The sequence below is a fragment of the Homo sapiens genome, chromosome 1 (genome assembly GCF_000001405.40).
Source record: "Homo sapiens chromosome 1, GRCh38.p14 Primary Assembly".
In the NCBI taxonomy this organism is placed as follows: Eukaryota; Metazoa; Chordata; class Mammalia; order Primates; family Hominidae; genus Homo; species Homo sapiens.
The window spans coordinates 13,082,117-13,104,374 of record NC_000001.11 but is presented as its reverse complement, the minus strand read 5'-3'; the positions used below and the strand labels follow the sequence as shown (position 1 = coordinate 13,104,374).

General features: G+C 46.9%; 1 pseudogene across 1 annotated transcript; it reads left to right on the top strand.

Annotated features, from left to right (window-relative positions):
- Positions 4,658-9,860, top strand: PRAMEF34P (PRAME family member 34, pseudogene; annotated as a pseudogene). The gene is made up of 4 exons (NR_111947.1): positions 4,658-4,735; positions 6,379-6,690; positions 7,087-7,662; positions 8,613-9,860. The product of NR_111947.1 is annotated as a PRAME family member 34, pseudogene (transcript).
- Positions 9,861-22,258: the final 12,398 nt, after the last annotated feature.

The window sequence follows — 22,258 nt, the reverse complement described above, 5'->3', positions numbered from 1 at the left end:
ACCATAACACATAGTTTTGTTCTTTTTCACAGTAAACGTTAGTGGGCATCTACTGTGTGCCATCCACTGGGGATGTCACAGGGAATGGGATGCTAGAATGTCAACTCATTAAGCTGTTCAGTTATGTTATGATAAATTTAATTTGATTTTTCTGCAATTCTTTTCTGCATTTTGTAGGAACCTTGCTTTTCCCCCTTTAGTTTGTCAGTATGCTGAATTACACTTAGATTTTCCTGTGATTGGCTGGCATTCCTGGAATGGCCATTATATATCACTATATTGCTTTCTTTTTTTCTTTTTTTTTTCTTTTTAAGGTGGAGTTTCACTCTTTTTGCACAAGCTGAAGTGCAATGGCATGATCTCGACTCACTGCAACTTCCACCTTCTTGGTTCAAGCAAATCTCCAGCCTCAGCCTCCTGAGTTGCTGGGATTACAGGCATGCGCCACCACACCTGGCTAATTTTGTATTTTTAGTAGGGATGGGGTTTCTCCATGTTGGTCAGGCTGGTCTCGAACTCCAGACCTGAGGTGATCCACCTGCCTCGGCCTCTCAAAGTGCTGGGATTGCAGGCATGAGCCACGGAGCCTGGCCTGTCTATCACTTTCTAATGCAGTGTTGCATTTAGTTAACTGATAATTTATTAAGTACTTTTTTCTGGCTGACCGTGGTGGCTCATGCCTGTAATCCCAGCACTTTGGGAGGCCGAGGCAAGTGGATCACCTGAGGTCAGGAGTTCTAGCCAACACAGAGAAATTCTGCCTCTTCTAAAACTACATAAATTAGCTGGATGTGGTGGCATGTGGCTCTAATCCCAGCTACTAGAGAGGCTGAGGCAGGAGAATTGCTCGAATCTGGGAGTAAGAGGTTGCAGTGAGGTGAGATTGTGCCACTGCACTCCAGCCTGCATGACAGAGTGAGTCTCTGTCTCAAAAAAAAAAAAAAAGAAAGAAAAAAGAAAAAAAACTTTTGCCAAATAAGTTTAAATTTACTTTCCTTCTAATATCCTTAGCCATTTTTAAAATATGGGTTACTGCTCTCTTATGAAATGAATTAGACAACTTTCCATATTTGCCTTTCTTTCTGGAACATCTTGTACAAAACAGAAAATACCGGCCAGGTGCAGTGGCTCATGCCTGCAATCCTAGCACTTTGGGAGACTAAGGCAGGCGGATCACTAGCTTCCAATCAAAAAGTGATATCTGATTGCATTTCTGAAGCTCCACCCAGTTAATCCTGATTGGGTTTTTGGCTCTCCCCAGATTAATGGATTGAATCAGATATCCATTCATATCAGATATCCATATTAATTGCATGAATCAGGAAATTGACAGTGTTAGGGATAGGGTAGAAGTCAAGAATTCACTCATTCAAGGCCGGGTGAGGCAGCTCACGCCTGTAATCCTTCCAGAAGGACTTCCCTGTACTGGTTTAGGCTTTGCATACCCTGTCTTTCATTTGGGTCCCACTGGGGGTCTGTTCCTGCTAGTTGGATCCTCACATACCCTCGGGGATTTTGTAATCAGCTGGAACATGTTCTTCCAGCCACTTAGTTGCCACTTGGAGCACTCTCCACCTTTCATCTGTGTTAAAGAGGTGCATGAGCACCTGGTGGCAATCAGCCCAGGTGGGGTTGTGGGTCTGGATAACAGTTTGGAGCAAATAAATTATAGCTTGAGGCTTTTCGGTATAGGATGGGGTATTGTTTTCCAATGGAGGAGATGGGCAGAGGTGAAGGGTTGGTACACAAAGGCACGTCTTTCCACCATAAGCCCATCCTCGTCTACTCCAGTATACTGTTGCTCTCTCAGGGACATTTGTATCCCAGTTCTAGGCCTCATACGGGCAGCCAAGGGAGGGTCTTGCATCCTGAGGTCTTGCACCCTTTCTTCTCTACTCTGGGCAGCCTAGGGGTATGTAGGCCTTGTGGAAGCTTGGGCGCAGTGGGCTCAGGAGTGGGAGGCCTTCCTTCTTGGTGAAAGGGGGGGGCACTGGCACAGTGTCTTGCCAGTGTTCCTTTGCTTAGTTTCTTTTTTTAACTGTTGTTTGTGATTTTCCATCTTCCTGAGACCAACCACTACTTGCTGGACCTTCTGAATTGGGAAAGAATGGAAAGTCTGTCAGCCAGTTTTTTCCAACATTTAGGTTGTTGAACTGCTTAGGGGATCCTCTGAGCCTCTCACCTGAGGGGTCTGCCAATCATTTGTTGTCTGAACATGGGCAGATTCCTCTTGCTAGCCAAATCTCAGGGTCACCAACATGCTTTAGATTATTTGTGAGGGAGAGCTGAGATCTTGGATGAATGATACCAGCCCCTGCTGTGCCTCGTGGATGCTCAGTCACCAGAGACACTCACGATCACCCTTGGTGCTGAGCTCAACCTCAGCCTCAGGCTCACAAAGTGAGGGCAGGCAAAGTAGAAGCCCCACTGAACACATTTCAGTTTAACTCAATTGCACACATAGCAGGGCATTGACAGTGAGGTCAGAAATGTGGAGAAAGAACATTTACAGAAACATTTCAAGATAGAGAACACCCTTCAAAGTACTCCAGTTTTGGAGGCCAGTGGCATCTCAGAGCTGTTTGGTTTTCATATAGAATGGGAGAGAAAGGCCTGGAGGACTTTCTGGAGGCAGGGGAGGTTCTTGCTACTTTGTGCCCTAAAACATCGGAAGAATCACTGTGTGATCCCTCTTAGGATGGGAGCCATCCGTGAACTTAGCAGATATTTCAACATGAAATAGAGCTTCCAGGTTTTGTGGGGGAAATGTATTTTAGGTGTGCACCCAATATAACAGTATATATGCGCTGCTCTTAAAGACAAGAAGGCTCGCTCTTTTTCTTTCTTTCTTTCTTTCTTTCTTTCTTTCTTTCTTTCTTTCTTTCTTTCTTTCTTTCTTTCTTCTTTCTTTTTCTTTCCTTCCTTCTTTCCTTCTTTTTCTTTCTTTCTTTCTTTTTCTTACTTTCTTTCTTCTTTCTTTTTCTTTCTTTCCACCTTTCTTTCTGTTTCCTTCTGTCTTTTTCTCTCCCCTCCCTCCCTCCCTCCCTCCCTTCCTTCCTTCTTTCCTTCCTTTTTTTTGAGGCAAGGTTTCATTCTGTTGAGCAGGCTGGAGTGCAGTGGCACAATGATGGCTCACTGCAGTCTCAACCTCCTGGGCTCAGGTGATCCTCGCATCTAAACTTCTTGGGCAGCTGGGACTACAGGTGCACACCACCATGCCTGGCTAATTTTTCGTATATAGTTTTTATAGACAGAATTTTCCATGTTGCCCAGGCAGGTCTCAAACTCCTGCGCTCAAGTAATCTATCTGCCTTGGCCTCCCAAAGTGCTGAAATTAGAGATATGAGCCACCACACATGGCCTGAGTTTTCTTTGTATACCTAATGGTATCACTTTAATCAGAATCTCTCTGTTCAATATCAGGGACAAGGGAGGACTTTAAGGATGGCAGAACATTAATTATCAAAATATGCTGGGGAATGGCACGAGGGTATTGATGAGGATGAGGGGCCCTGGGAAACACCTGTGGGTGAGGGTTGCTGGGAAATGTCCCACTGTGGGAAGATCCCTGAGTCTAAAAGAAAGGTTTCCAGACCATAGCACCATGACAGAGACTTGGACCCTTGTTCACTTTCTCCCACATCCTGCAAAACCCACAGCTCCCACCTTCGATGGCTTCCAGGTTGGGAAAGTCTCCCTTCCCAGGTCTGGCCACACTGCTTCTCTCTGGCATCTGCCCCAGCTCAGATTCTCAGATTCCATCTTCCCAGGCTGATTTTCTGAGGCGAGCCCATCATTTTTGGGAGTAAACACGCTTTCCCTTCTAGTAGGGGCCAAGACTGTTTCTGCCTTCTCTGCCCTCAAAGACAATGTTGTGTTTGAAGAGTCTGCACTGTCTCTTCTGTAACTATTCCCTTTTTAATTTTTAAACTCAATCCAGACAGAGTCTTTCAATCCTTCTGTGGAGATGCCCACAAAATACCCACCATGTTTTATGCTGTCTTGGTTCCTTCCCAGGGTTCTACTAGAACACCCGGTCCCATCCTGCCCAGCCCCCACCTCACTTTGTCATTCTGTCCTGATTTCCTGCAGTGAAGCCTTGACCTTAGTCTTGTGATCAATAACACCCTCAGTGGTTCCCCTCTTCAACCTGAACCCACATATGACCTGCCCCGTTAGGAAGCATAAAACCCAGGTAACTGTTGGATAACAGAGCTTTGTATTCTGTTTTCTTAGGGTTGACATCACCGTCTTTTTAAAGCTGTCTTAGCTCTGAAACGTTTGGATAATTTCAATGTGGCCAAATATTCTCCCATAAAGATATCATCAGGTTTTGTTTTTTCTTTCTAATGCCAGGAACAGATTAAACCTTCCATGTCACTATGAAGGTCACATGTTAGTCAAACTTCATCAGTGTTTGGGGAATAAATGAATTAATGACTTTTGGACTTTCACCCTGTTATTTATTCTTTCACTTTCATAAATGCACATCTAATTTAATCAATGAATCAGAAGAAAGTGTGAAACTCAATCAGGATTAACTGGGTGGAACTTCAGGATCTAATCAGGTATCACTTTCTGATTGGAAGCTGGTGATTGAGAAGGGGAGGGTGTGGTTAGAAACATCAACAAAAGCTCCTGAGTTTGCACAGGACAGACCCAAAGCCCTGGTGCCTGGAGCTACTGCTTGGTTCTCTGAGAGGTCCCAGCACCCTGCAAACTGAGTCCAGATCTGGTAAGTCACCACCTTCTTAGGAACATGCCCGTCTAATCTGCAGCCAGCCAGTCAGGGATGGTGACACACAGCCCAAAATGGCACAGAGAATTTCCTGTCTGTTTTTTCAGATTAAACAGATGTAGGTTTTGATTTTTCCTCCAAATATAGTTTTGACTTCATCCCTCAAATTTTGATTTGTGCTTCATTTTCCTCATTTCAAAATTCTTATTGAAGCAGTTTTTAAAAAAAAAATATTAAAAATTTACAGTTGGATGGATGTTTATGTCTTGACATGTGAAGTTGTTGGTTTCTGTGCCTGTCAGCTATAGTTCACACACTTAGCGGTATTGTGATTTTATTAGTCAGGCTTTCATTTTACAGAAATCTTAGATCTCCCGTACACCATTCTCAAGAGACTTGTTCCGAACCTGGGATTTATCTCTTCCCTTAGACTCTGTCCCTAAGTGTGTGATTGTGAGTATGTGGAAGGGATGTGTATTGGATCCTTCTCCTCAGACTTAGTGTTTCCATTTCTACCTTCCAAGTGCTCTAGACTACTGCAACACTGCTTTTATAATTTCTCTTACAGTTTTTCAAAATAAAAACACACACCTTGGACTCCCAAAGTGCTGGGATTACAGGAGTGAGCCACTGTGCCTCATCTAGAGTTAGTATTTCTATCCCTACCTTCCAAATGCTCTAGAATACCATCACGTCGCTTTTAGTTTCTGGTTAATTCTTTTCTCTTGTTCTGAGATGGAGTCTCACTCTGTCACCCAGGCTGAAGGGCAGGGTGTTGAGTTCAGCTCACTGAAAACACTGCCTCCGGGATTCAAGTGATTCTTCTTCCTCTGCCTCCAGAGTAGCTAGGATTATAGGACTGCACCACCACACCTGGCTAACATTTTAATTAATTAATTATTATTATTATTATTATTATTATTATTATTTGAGACAGAGTCTAACTCTTTTGTCCAGACTGGAGTGCAGTGGTGGGATCTCGGCTCACTGCAACCTCTGCCTTTTGGAGTCAAATGATTTTTAATTTTTTTATATTTAGTAGAGACAGAGTTCATTACGTAAGCCAGGCTGTTCTCGAACTCCTAACCTCAAGTGATCTGCCTGTTTTGGCCTCCCACAGTGCTGGGATTACAGACATGAGCCACAGCACCCGGTCAGTTTCTGGTTGAAATTTTTCAAAATAAAAAATAATGGCATTGACTTTAGGGAGTCCCTTTAGTGTTCCCCCAGCATGTTCATGGTGAAAACTGAGAATGGAGGCTGTCTGGGGCCACAGGACACTCTCATTCTCATTGCTTTAGGGCGGTAAGTGACAAGAAAATTTTCCTCAAAGAGGTAGAGCTTGGCTTTCAGGATCCTCAGTGACACTTTCCAGTGGTACTGGGATTCAGTGGAGCCATGGATGAAAATTAATGGGCCAGTGGTCTCTTTGACCCCTCCCTCCTTGGTGTTTGGAAGACATTCTTCCTGGTACCAGCAGAAGCAGAAATATAGATTTGTGGCCACCAAGTGCAGAGTGGAATTGGGGTAAAGTGGTAATTTTTCTACCTCTACCAGAGCAATGCTACTGGCCTTAGGAGAAGATGAGGTGATTGTGTTTGGCCTGAAAGTGATGCCTTTTCTCTGGATTTGTCTTCTAGAGTTTTTCCTTACAGATTCATCAGGATGAGCATCCAGGCCCCACCCAGACTCCTGGAGCTGGCGGGGCAGAGTCTGCTGAGAGACAAGCCCTTGGCCATCTCTGCCCTGGAGGAGCTGCCCAGGGAGCTCTACCTCCCACTCTTCCTGGAGGCCTTCAGCAGGAGACACTTCCAGACTCTGACAGTGATGGTGCAGGCCTGGCCCTTCACCCGCCTCCCTCTGGGATCGCTGATGAAGACGCTTCATCTGGAGACCTTAAAAGCATTGCTGGAAGGGCTTCACATGCTGCTTACACAGAAGGATCGCCCCAGGTGAGGTGACCCAGGAAGGCTGGTAGATGGGGCTCAGGTGTCCAGGGAAAGAACAGCAGGGTCAGGCAAAGAAGTATCCCAAGGATGGCCCAGTGTCTTCTGGTGGTGCTGGTGACGAAGCTCAGGCATGCCTTGGCCATTGCCCAGATCCTCAGGGAAAGAACTGCCCACAATATAGGGTCCACTGTGGGAACAGAAACTTGCCTATTCCCAGTGGAAGGTAAATGGAATAGAAGTGGGGACCAGTCAGAATTGAAAGAGAAAAGGGACCAAGAAAACTCAGAGAGAACAGGGAGCAGCGAGGACAGGAGCAGCTGATTTATTGGATGAGAATGAAAGCAAAGGTCAGGGATTTGTCCTTCAAAGTTCTGAGCCTCTGCCTTACTTTACCCACAGGAGGTGGAAACTTCAAGTGCTGGATTTGCGGGATGTTGATGAGAATTTCTGGGCCATATGGTCTGAATCCAGGGCCCTGTCCTCCTCCCCAGAGGCCATGAGTAAGAGGCAGACAGCAGAGGACTGTCCAAGGATGGGAGAGCACCAGCCCTTGAAGGTGTTCATAGACATCTGCCTCAAGGAAATACCCCAGGATGAATGCCTGAGATACCTCTTCCGGTGGGTTTACCAAAGGAGAGGTTTAGTACACCTGTGCTGTAGTAAGTTGGTGAATTATCTAACGTCGATTGAATATCTCAGAAGATCATTGAAAATAATCCACCTGAATAGTATTCAGGAGCTGGAAATTTGCTATGTGTCCTGGCCACATCTGATAAGAAAGCTTCATTGTTACCTGAAGGAGATGAAGAATCTTCGCAAACTCATTTTTCTCCAGGTGCCATCCTTACACGTCAATTACCGCGAGGAATGCTCAGTCGCCAAAATCAGCTCTATGTTCCTCAGGCTGAAACACCTCCAGCTGCTTAAAATGAATATGGTCACCTTCCACAGAGGGCACCTGGGACAGCTGATCAGGTGAGAAAGGATCGTGCCCTTTCTCTGCAGACCACAGCGCAGCCTTTTTTTTTGTTACAGTAAACACTAGAAGACGTGTACTGTGTGCCAGCCAGTGGCGACGGCACAGTGCAGGGGACACCAGAATGTCAACACATTGTCCCGTTCAGTGCTCCATGTCCTGGAGTGGCTATCACAGGATCACTTCAATAAAGGCAGAGGGGTCACCTAGGGTAGAGGCTAGAGAGGGACATCATGTACAAGGTACTTAGTGGGCGTTTTGTCTCTACTGCATGTGCACGTGTGAATTTCTTGTTACAAAGTGTGTTTCAAGTTGATATGATGTAAAAGAGGTAACAAAGGAGGGTATGAAAGGAGGGACAGTGCATCAAACTTGTGCATTTCACAGTAGAAGCTCTGTCCTCACCAGCTTAGTGATCATGAATGATCCTGTCTCTGATTCCCTGTCTGTAGAAGGTTGTTTTGAACTCCAGGAAAGTCAATTGACATGGGACATGCATGCTTCTGGGATGGAGGGTGAAGGAGTAGGAGTGAGAGTGGTAAAAAGTGACAGTTGGTTTGCAGATGCAGGCAGGCCAGGGAGCCCCTGCCGGCAGGTAGCCCCAGCTAATGTCCCTAGACCTTGCTGAGTTGAGTTCTTTGTGCACATCTCCCACCGGGTACCTGTGGCCCAGAGATGAGGTTTTCTGCTAAAAGATGAAGATAAAAGGCTTTAGAGATTTTGTGGCCTTGACCCAATCACACAAGAAATGGTGAAAGGGCTGAGGCTAAAATGGGACAGCCCCTGAATGATCAGGGTCCTCAACATGCAGCAACTTGCATGAGGACCATCATCAGATGGTGGGAACAAACTTGTGTTTGGTTGAAGCAGGTATTTTCCTTGAGTTCATTCCCCACTACCTTCATCTAACTGGTACCATTGCCCAGAACTAACTTCTTGATCTCCACAGGTGCCTCTAGAACCCCTTGGAGAACTTGGAATTAACTTGCGGCTACCTATTGGAAGAGGACTTGAAGTGTCTCTACCAGTACCCAAGCCTCGCTTACCCAAAGCATCTGAATCTCAGCTACATGCTGCAGTTCTGTATCAGTCTTGAACCCCTCGGAGCTCTGCTGGAGAAAGTTTCTGCCAACACGAGGGTCTCGAGAGAGGCAGCAATTACTCTTAAGACCCTCATCTTGGAGGGCTGTCAGATCCACTACTCCCAACTCAGTGCCATCCTGCCTGGCCTGAGCCGCTGCTCCCAGCTCACCACCTTCTACTTTGGCAGAAATTGCATGTCTATGGAAGCCCTGAAGGACCTGCTGTGCCACACCAGTGGGCTGAGCAAGTTAAGCCTGGAGATGTATCCTGCCCCCGAGGAGAGTTTGAATTCCTTGGTTCATGTCGATTGGGAGATCTTCACCCCACTTCGGGCTTAGTTGATGTGTACACTAAGGGAAGTCAGGCAGCCCAAGAGGATCTTCATTGGCCCCGCCCCCTGCCCGTCCTGTGGCTCATCACCGTCTGAGGAACTGGAGCTCCATCTTTGCTGCTAGGGAAGGCGTGCCTAGCGGGGTAGAGAAATCCAATGTTCTCTTCTAGGCCCTTGGACACTAAAATCTAGTATGTAGGTGCAAGTTATTTTCCTCTTTTCTTATTTCCTTTTTTAATAATTCCAATATTTTTATTACAAAAAAATTGAGAAAGTGTTTCACTATGTTGCCCCAGCAGGTCTCAAACTGCTGGTCGCATGGGATTCTCCTGCCTCGGCCTTCTAAAGTGCTGGGATTACAGGCATGAGCGACTGTGCCCAGGCCACATGTGCAACTTAAAGGAAGCACAGAGCTCTGTTTCAGACAGGTGCTCAGTGCGAGGGAAAAAATCCTAAGAGCAGGGGGCAAGACTTGAGGAAAATATTGAGGTGGAGTCAATGAGAGCTACAGAGTCAGAAAGAGAAACTAAAATTCTTCAGTGATGAGAATGTTATCCCTGCAAGGATGATTACCAAGAAATATCAGAAATAGAGAACCTCAGTGAAAACTTTCTGGTGTCCTCTGTAATTGATTTACTTGTTTTAGGGATTTATACATCAGAAATCTCTAGTTATTGAGTTACTGATGGAAAAATAACGAGGCACTAGTTTGTCTGTGATTGAGGTTCAGCTGCGGAACATCATAGCAGCCAAATAAAATTAGACCATTTTGAGTAATTCCCACCCATTCTTGTTCTTTTATTTCATTATTTATTTTTTTATTTTTGGAGACAAAAATATTGCTTTGTCATTCAGGCTGGAGTGTAGTGGTGCAATCTGGGATCACTGGAATCCTTTCCTGTGGGGCTCAAGTGATTCTCGTGCCTCAACCACTCAAGTAGCTGGGAGTACAGGCACGTGCCACCAAGCCTGCTAATTTTTGTATTTTTCGTAGAGACAGGGTTTTACCCTGTTCACCAGGCTGGTCTTGAGTTCCTGGCTTTGAGTGATCCGCCAACCTTGGCCTCCCAAAGTGCTGGGATTACAGGTGTGCGAATGGTCTGCACCCATCCTTTACTTCTCTTTAGTCATCTGTTTTTTCATACTTTTTCGACTGTGGGGAGCAGCTCGGTCGGGCACAAAGGCACAGGCAGAAAGGGGCCATGAGGAGAAGATGGGCTTGGGGTGGTGCCGTGCTTGCACATGAAGTGTGGTTGTCAGGTTCCAAAGGCAGAGCTGGGGCCATGCTCCAGGGCCCCGAGTTGGGAAGCAGAAATGGCACCAAGTTCAATGACCTGGCCAGCTATGCATCAACTGTGTGCCCACCCTGCTAATAGTATCAAGTTCCTAGGTCTAAAAAGGAGTTCTGTGTGAATCTTCCTGAGGCTGCATTTCCAAGATCTGCCCCCAAGAGGGGTGAACACAGAGCCTGATGCTTCCGATTGCTGGGCCTGTGGACCACGATCCACTCCTAAAGGCACCACCTCTTGGCTGGGTTGTCAGCCAGGCCTGTGCCCCATGTCCCTGAGGCAGCCAACTGTGCCACCCATACCCTCTCACGGCTAAACGGGACTTGCCCCTAGGTCCGCAGTCTCCACCACAGCCTCGACCTCACTCCCCACTTTGTGCTGTTAGCCTGCAAACTCCTGGATCAGAGCGCAGTTGGGGCTCATTAAACCGGACCCAGGAGCTTCAGATTTGTTTCTGTGGGGTTGACCAGAGCTGCTGTGAACCTGCATCTCACCTGTCACCTCTGCACGGAAACAGAGAGAGGGCAAAGCTGAGGCTGTGCACACTTTGGAGCTGATGGGATCCTGGGACAAGAGGGAGTCCTGGTCCTCCCAAGTTGGCAGGGCAGTAGCTCCAAAGGCACAACTGAAGCTGCCCAGGTTGCAGTTACCAAACAAGGTCCCCTAGTGCTCTCGAGGGCCCAGGAGGTCCCCCCTTCCCCATTCTATTGCTCAATAAAGGTCCTCTTTATCTTGCTCACTCTCCACTTGTCTGCATATTTCATTCTTCCTGGTTGCAGGACAAGACCCGCCTAATGGTGGGGCTAAAAGCAGTAACACAAACAAAGCTGAAACACGCCCCTTGCTCACCAAGTTGTAGGTGAAGAGAAAAAGAGAAGAGCTACTACTCTTTTCAGGAGCCCAGACGTGGGAGCTTCCTGAGCCAGGGCTGTGATTCCCTTTTTGTGGTTCTGCAGTTCCCAGCACTTCCAAGAAGGCCCATAATGGCAGTTAATGCTAGAAAGGGGAGGTAGAGGAACCTGTGGAAGGAAAAAAAAAAATGGTGGGGCTGAGATGGAGGGCCTGGGTCCACCCACAGACGAAAGTCCCTTCCTAGCAGACCCTGCACTGGGCCCCGGGGATCCTGGCGTCCCTGGTTCACACCCACGCTGCATATCGCACCTATGGGGGGCACCCCAAAGCTTCTAGCAAGCCCAGAAAGGAAGACAAGACTTGAAAGGGGAGGTAGAGGCACCTGTGGAGGAAAAAAATGGGCACCGTAGAGGAGGGGTGCTTGGGTCCCCCCACAGAAGAATGTGCCTTCCCAGCAGCCCCTACGGAGTCCCCGGGATTTCTGGCATCCCTGGATCACACCCACGTTGCCTGTCATGGTGGTGGGGGCACCCGGAAGGGGCAAGAAAGCCCAGAAGGGAAGATAAGGTTTGAAAGGGGAGGTAGAGGCACCTGTGGAAGGAAAAAAATGGCGCAGTCGAGAAGGGGGGCCTGGGTCAACCCACGGATGAAAGTGCCCTCCCAGCAGACCCTGCACAGGGCCCGGGGGATCCTGGCATCCCTGGTTCACACCCACAGTGCGTGTTGCACCTGCGGGAGGCACCCCAAAGCATCAAGAAGGCCCAGAATGGAAGAGAAGGCTTGAAGCTTAAAGTAGAAGCACCTGTGGAAGGAATAAAAAACGGCACGGCAGAGGAGGTGGGCATGGGTCCCCCCATGGATGAAAGTGACTTCCCAGCAGCTCCTGAGCTTGGTCCTGGGGATACTGGTGTCCCTGGTTCGCCCCAACGATGCCTGTCCCTCCCACTGGGGGGAAACCCAAAGCAGCAACAGGCACTAGTGGAAGGTAAAAAATACGTGCGGCAGAGGAGGGGGGCCTGTGTCCCCACATGGACTAAAGTGCCTTCCCAGCAGCACTTGCACAGGGCTCCGGGGTTAGTTCCATCCCTGATTCACACCCAAGGTGCATGTCACACCCATGGGGGGCACCCCAAAGTGGTAAGAAGTCCCAGGATGGAAGATAAGGCTAGAAAGGGGAGGTAGAGACACCTGTGGAAGAAAAAAAATGGCGAGGCAGAGAAGGGGTGCCTGGGTCCCCCCACAGATGAAAGTGCCCTCCCAGCAGACCCTGCACAGGGCCCTGGTGATCCTGGCGTCCCTGGTGCTCACCCACGGTGCATGTCACACTCGCGGTTTTACCCCAATGGGGCAAGAAGGCCCAGAAAGGATGATAAGGCTTGAAAGGGGAGGTAGAGGCACCTGTGGAAGGAAAAAAAAAAGGGAACAGCGGAGGTTCAGGCCGGGGTACCTCCTTGGACAAAAGTGCCTTCCCAGCAGCCCCTGGGTGGGGCCCCGTGGATCCTGACATCCCTGGTTCGCCCCCTTGGTAAGTGTCAATGACCTCATGGTATGTGTATATATATATATATACATGTGTGTGGTGTGAGCACCTAGAAAGTGACAACTCTCCAGGACAGAGCTGGCCTCACAGATTAACATGGTTTTTCACTTGGCAGGGAAAAGTAAAACGCCTCGTGTCCCTGGCTGGGCAACCCCCTCAGGAGTGCAGCAAGGAGACATGGGATCTGTGGACAGGAGGCTACTGGGCGAAACCTCTCATTGAGGATTATGTTAAAATTTGCACTTGAGACGCTGAGTGCCCTATGTCCTTCCCACTCACCAAAGAACCCCAGCTGAGCCAGCCCTGACTCCCAGACACAAGAGCCCAGGGAGAAGCTGGGAGAGAGGGAGACCCGCTGTGACCTCAGGGCATGGAAGGAGCCCTGACCTTTTTCTCCATGATGCCTTCCCCACTCCCAAGTGCCTCTGGCCTGAAGCTTCCAGGGACCCCTGCATTCCATCCATGCCCTCCTCTGCTCCCTCCAACCCAGCCTTTTCTAAAGCCCCATGCATTTGTCTCCATGAGAGTGCCCCAGTCTCAGGCGCTCACAGTGCCTCAGAAGCTCGGGGTCCCTGTGCCTGCCTGGAGGCAGTCTCACTCTATGTGGCCCCATGTGTGTTCTTGGATTTCTTTCTACACAAGGTCACCTGTAGGTGTACAGTAGACACATCACCTGTAGAAGAGCCAATGGGGATGGGTGAGGACCAGGAACCCTCTCAGGCACACACATGGAAAGAGAGAGAAGTGTTCCTGGAAGCACAGGCCTGGGGGTGGGTGCTAGCCCCCTGTGTCTCCTCTAATCAAAGAGGTCAGCGACTTTGGCCACAGAATACACACCCACTTCCCATGGGTTCACATCCAAAGAACAAACTCCTTCAGACTCCCTGGTCCATGCACTCGAGATCCCCAGGGTGTCTTGAGTTTTTATCCCAGAAGGAGAGAGAAACAAGCTTTCATCAGCTAAACAAGACCACTACTAATACTAATGTAGGTATTGACACTAATACTAGTACTACTACTAATACAAGTGCTAACACTACCAAAAGTACTGTACTAATATGAATATCAACAGGGATTTTTTTTTCTAGCTGCTCAAGGAAATGTGTGGAGTCATCCCCTATTTTCTTTTTATTGGAGCCACTGTGTCAGTGGCGACAGTGGTTAGGAGCCTCCTTTGGGTAAAAACGAGGTAACTTCAGCCCCTGCTTGCTCCACTGTCTGCCTCTCCAGGGCCTCTGTGTCCTGCTGCAGAGTCTAGCCTGTTCTTCACAGGCACACATTCCTTATGGCACAGAGACACACCAATAAAAAAAGTCCTGAGAGAAAGGAAGGAATGGCACCTGCAAGAGACCTCACACTGATGGACCTCAGAGATATTCGTGGTCTGAGGAACACAGAGGAGAATGTGTGGGGAGCAGATCCCCACTGAGAAAGAAGCAGGACAGCTGGGCGCAGTGGCTCACACCTGTAATCCCAGGACTTTGGGAGGCTGAGGCATGTGGATCATGAGGTTAGGAATTTGAGACCAGCCTGGCCAATATGGTGAAACCTCATCTCTAGTAAAAATAGAAAAATTAGCTGGGTGTGGTGTTGTGCCTGTAGTCCCAGCTACTTGGGAGGCTGAGGCAGGAGAATTGCTTGAACTGAGGAAGCAGAGGTTTCAGTGAACAATAGGAAAACAGTATTACAAGGAAAACTACTAGTCCTAAGATTTCTAACTATGTTTATTTGCTTGATGAGTCCTCAAGCTTCGGCCGTGCGTAGACTAGTCAGCTTCCAGTGTGTGACTAGAGCAGGGCTTGTTGTCTCCTCAACCTTCAGCTGTACGTAGACTGGTCAGCTTCTGGAGTGACCAGAGCAGGGCAGTCATCTTTAGCATCAGCTTGGTCTCATCTCAGGATCAGCTGTGTCTCATCTCAGGATCAGGTGGGTGATCTGGGTCCTGCTGGCTGGTCCACTTGTCCTGAGCTTCGGTTTCAGCCAGCTGTGGTGGATCCAAGGCACAACACCTGCAACTTTAACAGCAGAGGGAGTACACAAGATTACAGTATAGGGCTGGGTGTGTTGGCTCATGCCTGTAATCCCAGCACTTTCAGAGCCCGAGGCGGGTGGATCACGAGGTTGGGAGATGGAGAGCATCCTGGCTAACACGGTGAAACCTCATCTCTATTAAAAAAAAAAATACAAAAATTACCCACGCATGGTGGCGGGCACCTGTAGTCCCAGCTACCTGGGAGGCTGAGGCAAGAGAATGGTGCGACCCCCAGGAGGCAGAGCTTGCAGTGAGCTGAGATCATACCACTGCACTCCAGCCTGGGGGACAGAGCAAGACTCTGCATCAACAAAAAAAAAAAAAAAAAAAAAAAAAAAGGTTACAGTATAGGGCCCATCCCATATGGGTCCTAGAGAATTTAATTCAACTTTTTAACTCAGAGTCACTAGGTTTAAAGGGGTGTGTCTGGTCTGTCAGGCTTACAGGCATTCTTTCCTGTACCCACCCATGGACACTTTGCAAGTCTGTCCCTAATGCCTGCATTTGCTTTCTTAAGGTTAATTCTCTTAGTTCAAGGAGATAACCTTTAATTTGACTTATGATTGGGGGAGGCTGACTGAACAAAATCTCATAGGGCAAATACCCAGTTTGTTTGGTGAGGGTGCACCTGACTCAGAGGAGGACCATAGGCAAGACCTGATCCCATCTCAGATAGGTTTCCTGGAAATATTTCTTCAGAAGCTCCTTGAGTGTCTGGTTCATGCATTCCACTTTTTCTGAACTTTGCGGCTGATAGGCTGTGTGTAACTTCCATTTTATTTTTAACAGTCTTGTTAAATCTTGCACTATTTCAGCTACAAATGCCGTGCAATTAACGGACCCTAAAGTTAGAGGCAGTCCAAGCCTGGGGATGATGTCTCTTAGCAGTACTTTAGTCACTTCTCATGCTTTTTCTGTTCTGGTGGGGAAAGCTTCAACCCATCCTGAAAAGGTGTAAATAAGCACCAGCATATACTGATAGCCTCCGGCATGGGGTAGTTTGGTAAAGTCTACAAGAAAGTTTTCACAAGGCATGGTTCCTACTTCCTGAATTCTTGGGGGTTGAGTGGGCCCCTGTCACGGGTTGTTCTGAGCACAGGTTAAACATTGTTTACAAACAGCTCAAATGATGGCCACGGCACATAGAAACAGCATTTCAGTAATGTTTCCAGTGCCATTTTTTCCCATATGAGTTCCTAGATAAATTTGCTTCAGAAACGTAGGAGCTAACATTTCTGGAATGGCTAATGTCCCATTGAAGAATTTCCACCACCCTCCTTTAATATATTTTCCAGCTTCTTGAGCAAACCAGGCTCTTTCATTTGGAGTAGAACTTGGATCTTCTTGGAGAGGAGCTTCTGGGAGGAGAAGCATAGCTAAGGCTTCCTCTTTAAAATGTGATGCAATCATTGCTCCCCTCTTTGCCTCTCTGTCTGCCTTTCTGTTTCTTTTGGTTTTTGGTGTCCCTGACTTTTGGTGCCATCTGCAGTGCATTAAAGCTACTTTTCCTGGAGGCCATACAGCCTCTAAGAGCTGTAGAATCTCTTCTTTGTACTTGATTTCTTTGCCTCCAGCTGTTAAAAGCCCTTTCTCTTTGTCTATAACTTCATGTACATGCAATGTAGTAAAAGCATACTTAGAATCAGTGTAAATATTGACCTTCTTCTCTTTTGCTAGAAACAGTGCTCTTGTCAGGGCTATTAATTCTGCCTTTTGAGCTCATGTTCCAGTAGGCAGAGGCAGAGCATCTACTACTAAGTCCAATGTTATTACTGCATACCTGGCATCTTGAACCCCTTCTAGCACAAAACTACTTCCATCTGTGAAGTATTCAAAAGCCGGGTCTCTGAGGTCTGTCTGCAAGATCTTTCCGACTGGAGAACACCTCATCTACTGTTGCAACACAGTCATGGAGGGGAGCCCCCGGTTAGACTGGGAGCAGAGGAGCCAGGTTTAAGGTGTTCACTGTTTCTAAAATAATGTAAGGGTTCTCACAAGGAAGACCTGAGTCATTTTTGGGTTTGATAACCAAAGATGCCCTCTTTGGTCCATCAAAGTTATAACTGAGTGTGGCACCCGCACAGTTAGCTGCTGTCCCAGAGTTAATTTGCTAGCTTCTTGTGTTAACAAGATGGTGGCAGCTAATGCCTTAAGGCAAGGAGACCATCCTAGCACCACAGAGTCCAGTTGTTTGTATAAATACGCCACTGGGCAATGCCATGATGCTATAATTTGAGTCAGAACCCCTATAACCATTCCTTTTCATTCATGAATACATAGAAAGAGAGGCTTAATTATATCTGGTAGTCCTAAGGTTGGGCCTGACCTAAAGCTTCCTTGAGCTGTTTGAATGCTATTTCCTGATTAGTTTCCCAAAGGAGGGGCTCTTTTTCTCCGATTTTGTGGCTTCATATAATGTCTTAGCCATCACTGAAAAATTTGGAATCCAGATGTGGCAGAATCCTGCTGCCCCTAAAGGAAGGGGGCCAGCCCCTCCACACCTGTGGGTATACCTCATCAAGTGGGGTGAGAGACTGAGAAAAGAAATAAGACACAGAGACAAAGTGTAGAGAGAGAACAGCGGGCTTCTAGCCAGCAGAGAGTTGCCTGTGTTACTCTCCGACACTCCTCAGTGTTAAACAGTGGGAGAAAAAACTGCCTGCAGTCTGGCCAGGTTGGATTGTGTGTCAGAAAGATGGATTGCATCAGATCTATAAGAGCTTGGGGCTTTGCCATATAGGAGGGAGTATGGTGTTTCCAGTTCAAGAGATCAATGGTTGAAAAGGGATGATAGATGAAAGTCCATTCCCCCCACCTGACTTGGCCTTGGTCATCATAATAAATGGGTCCTCCCATCTCCCTGAGATGCATTTGCATAACTCAAGCATGGCTAGATCTGAGATGGCCGGCTTAACCATCTTGACTTCCTTCCCTGGCCTCTCAAGCCTCTGATCCTTCCTTTGGGGTGAGACTTTGGGTGTGCTAGCTCCTGAATCTGGTTCCTGGGGGACTGTTGGCCTCGGTAAAGAAGGCTAGGCTGGGACATATGGAGTAGGAATCTCTATTCCCTCTGGTGGATCCTGCAAAACTGGCTTTTTTGCTCCCTCTGGGACTTTGCCTTTAACTCTGTGTCTGCCGGTGAAGCTGTTCTTACTTTCATTTTTGGCACGGCTCTGGCCACAAGTGTTTTGCACTAACTGGCTAAACAGAGCTGGACCATGCTGGTCTTGTCTGTGCTATATTTAACCATAAGTCAATATAAGGAAATTGATCTGGGTGCCCAGGCTGTCCTCCAACCCCTGTCACCACCTTAAATACACGGTCAATTATTTCCCTATCTATAGTTCCTTTGGTTGGCCATCCAACACCAAAAGAAGGCCATTTGAATTCACAGAGAGTTCTCAACCTCTAGGAGGTTAGCGTAACTCCATAATCTCCTGCAAAACCTTTATTAAAGTTCTCTAACATGCACCCAATGGAGTGTGTTTTGATGACTTTCCTCCTATTTCCTCGCTTTACGATGCAGCACACCCACTCTTCCTTTTGCCTCAGACCCACCAGATCATCTCCTATTATGGGAGTTTTCAGATGCCACTTGGCTTAAGAAAGGGTTTTATTCCCACCATAACTCTGAGATGTGGGGCAGCTCCTATTAGCTGTATGCGGTTCGCCACTAGTGCAGGTTGGCCCCACACTTGGCTTGGAGCACACAGACCATGCTAAGAGATCTGTGACTCCCCATGCCACTCCCACATTGGTTCCTCCCTGAACTGTATCTTTCACACACTTTCACACACCTCCCCACTCCCAGTTCGTGTGTTCCTAATTGGGGTTGTGAGCCACTCTCACCACCTCCAGTTTTCTTTTCCTAACCGACTTGGGGAGCCACTCTTGCATTGTGTGCCAGGTAGGGTGTGAGATTCATCTGAATTGGCGAGCCTCTGTCACCACCTCCAGCCTCTCTGGGTCAGATTACTAGTTACACCCTTGGAGGTGATCAGGCTCCCCTTCCGTCCTTATGGGACGGATCCTGTCTTTGGTCCCAAAACTTTACTGCAGTCCTGAAGAAATCACACTGCTCCTGGAATCATCCTGTAGCCCCTCAGGTTCTGTTGTGCTGCTGGGTGGGGGCACCAGGTCACAGGAGAGCCGATCTCCCCTCTGGGCTGAAGTTCTTCCAGCAGCGCCTGGGGTCACAGGTTTCTTTCCCTTGACCCTGGGCTCCAGCCCCACAAGAAAAGGAGAAAGTAAACCTGTCATCTCCACTCCTCCTGTCTGGCTCACCAAAAAGTTCTGAGAAACTGAGGACCAGAGAGACTGATATGGGAAAACAGGAGGATTTTTTTTTTTAAGGTACACACTGGCTCAGTGGATTCATATCCAAAAAGCTGAGCATTGAACAAAGACTGAGCAGGATTTTTATAAGCAGGCTTACAGAAGCAAAACAATGGCAGTTAATCATACAATGACAGGTAATGTAATCTATTACATAACTGTGGCCTTGCATAGCTGGTGGCCTTGTAGCTGCATCAAAAGAAAAAAGAAGAACTGGCTAAATACAGACATTTGCCATTTTTCTTTCTTTTTTTTAATCACCCTTGCTCTGGAGCAGTGGGTGTCTGGAGCCTATTCCTTTCTTTCAACTTCTCCAACAGCATTATCTTATAACTGTCCTTGAAATGAGCTTGCTAGGCAGAGGAAAACTTGTTTTTTGTTTGTTTGTTTGTTTGTTTTACCTTTGCCTGACACATTCTGGGCCTTGGCTTTTACTTCTCAGACTAGGTCACTATGACCTTCTTATAGCTTTGTCTGTAACTTTTCTTGGAGTAAATGAATGTAGTATTTATTGTTATTATTGTGTTTAAATTTCTGCCTCAAGACCAGACTACGTAGTAAAGCAAGACCCCATCACTATTAAAAAAATTAATAGAAAATAGCATATATGATGGGGCATGGTGGTTCATGCCTGTAATCCCAGCACTTTGGGAGGCCAAGGCAGGTGGATCATCTGAGGTTAGGAGTTCGTGACCAGTGAGGCCAATATGGTGAAACCCCAACCCTACTAAAAATACAAAAATTAGCTGGGTGTGTTGGCTCGCACCTGTAATCTCAGCTACGCAGGAGGCTGAGGCAGAAGAATCACTTGAATTTGGGAGGTGGAGGTTGCAGTGAGCTGAGATCATGCCATTGCACCCCAGCCTGAGTGACAGAGTGAGACTTCATTTCAAAATTAAAAAAAAAAAAGAAAAGAAAATAGCATATGGAATATCTCTGTGGTTTTCTTAAAAACAAAGCAAAATCTGTCATTTAAAATCACAATAACATTGCTGGGCACCATGGTTCACTTGAGTCCAGGAATTCTGAGACTAGCCCAGGAAATGTGGTAAAATCTTTTCTCTGCATGAAATACAAAATATTAGCCAGGTATGCTGCCACATGCTGGAAGTTCCAGCTACTCAGAAGGCTGAGAGGGGATGATTGCTTGAGCCTGGGAGGCAGAGGTTGCAGTAGGTCAAGATTGCAACACTGCACACCACCCTGGGTGACACCCAATCTAAAAAAAAAAAAAGTCTTTCAATCCTTTTGTCCAGATGCCCACAAAATACCTGCCATGTTTTATGTTGTCTTGGTTCCCTCCTAGGGTCCCATTAGAACACTTAGTCCCATCCAGCCCAGCCCTCACCTTACTTTGTAATGTAGGCCTGATTTCTTTCAGTGAAACCTTGACCTTAACCTTGAGAAAAATTACACCCTCAGTAGTTCCTGTCTTCCACCTGAATGGGCATATGATCTACCATGTTAGGTAGCATAAAACCCAGGTGCCCAGTGGATACACAGAGATTTTTATTGTGTTTTTTAGGGATGACATCCCTGTCTTCTTAAAGCTGCTTTAATGCTGAAATGTTTTGATACTTTTGATGTGGCCAAAGATTCTCCAATAAAGATATATATATATTCTAATGTCAGAAACAGATTAAATCCTTCCCTGTATCACTATGAAGGTCACATATTAGTCAAACTTTACCAGTGTTTGTGGAATAAGTGAATAAATGAGTTTTAGACCTTCATCCTGTTATTACTTCTTTCACTTTCATAAATGCCTATCTAATTTAATCACTTCATGAGAAGAAAATTGAAAACTCAATCAGGGTTAACTGGGTGGAAGTTCACGATCCAGTTGGATGTCGTTTTCGAATTGGAAGTTGGTAGTCAAGAAGGGGGTTGTAGTGAGAAAGGTCAATAAAAGCTCCTGAAGGTGCACAGAAGAGACCCAAAGCCCTGGCTCCTGGAGCTACTGCTTGATTCTCACAGAGGTCCCGGCACCCTGCAAAGTGAGTCCAGAACTGGCAAGTCACCACTTTTTAGGGACATGCCCATTTGATCTGATCTTCTGTATAGCAAGTCATACAAAAGTCTGGAAGACACTAGCACATACACTGTGAAGAGAAGTCTGGGATAAGGGGAAGATTATAGGAGATGTTTGCTCTGTGGTTTTGGAATGTTTTGCATTCAGAATACTGTCCAGAGAAGGGAAAAATGATGAAAAACAAATGAAGCTCGCCCTCATGTACCTCTATGTACCTCCTACCATGCTGGACTTTCTTGTTTTGTTTCATTTTGTTTTTCTTTCTTTCTTTCTCTCTCTCTCTCTCTCTCTCTTTCTTTCTTTCTTTTTCTTTTTTTGATACGGTATCTCACTCTGTTGCCTAGGCTGGGGTGCAATGGCATGATCTTCGATCACTGCAACCTCCACCTCCTGCGTTCAAGCAATTCTCCTCCCTCAGTCTCCCCAGTAGTGGGGACTACACCTATGCACCACCACGCCCAGTCAATTTTTGTATTTTTAATAGAGACAGGATTTCAATCATGTTGGCCATGCTTGTCTCAAACTTCCGACCTAAAGTGACCCACCCACTTCGGCCTCCCAGATGCTGGGATTACAGATGTGAGCCACTGCACCTGGCCAATTGCTGTACTTTCATGATACACATGGAGTATCCACAGTATCACAAGGGCTATTTTTTCCATAATCCAACTTATTTGTATTATTGGTAGTGAGCTACTGTTGACGTCCCCACGTTAGCAATTTAGTGGCTATACTGATGATAAGCATTTCCATGCATCATGTGGTCAACAGCATTTGCTACCAAGTGCCACGTTCCATGCTCAGCAGTGGGACCACAGGATGAGCGAGACAAAGTTCCTGACCTTTAGCAGCAATATCGAACAAGTGAGATTGTCAAGAAAGAAAAAATCCTTGTAAAACATACCATACCCCTACGATTCAGTCATCATGCTCCCAGGTATTTAACGAAGGGAGTAAACCCACACCTGGATGTTTATAGCAGCTTTATTCATAATCGCCAAAACTTGGAAGCAAGAAAGATGCCCTTCAGTGGGTGACTGGATAAAGAAACTGTGATCCATCTGGTCAGTGAACTATTACGAAGCCATAAAAAGACATGAA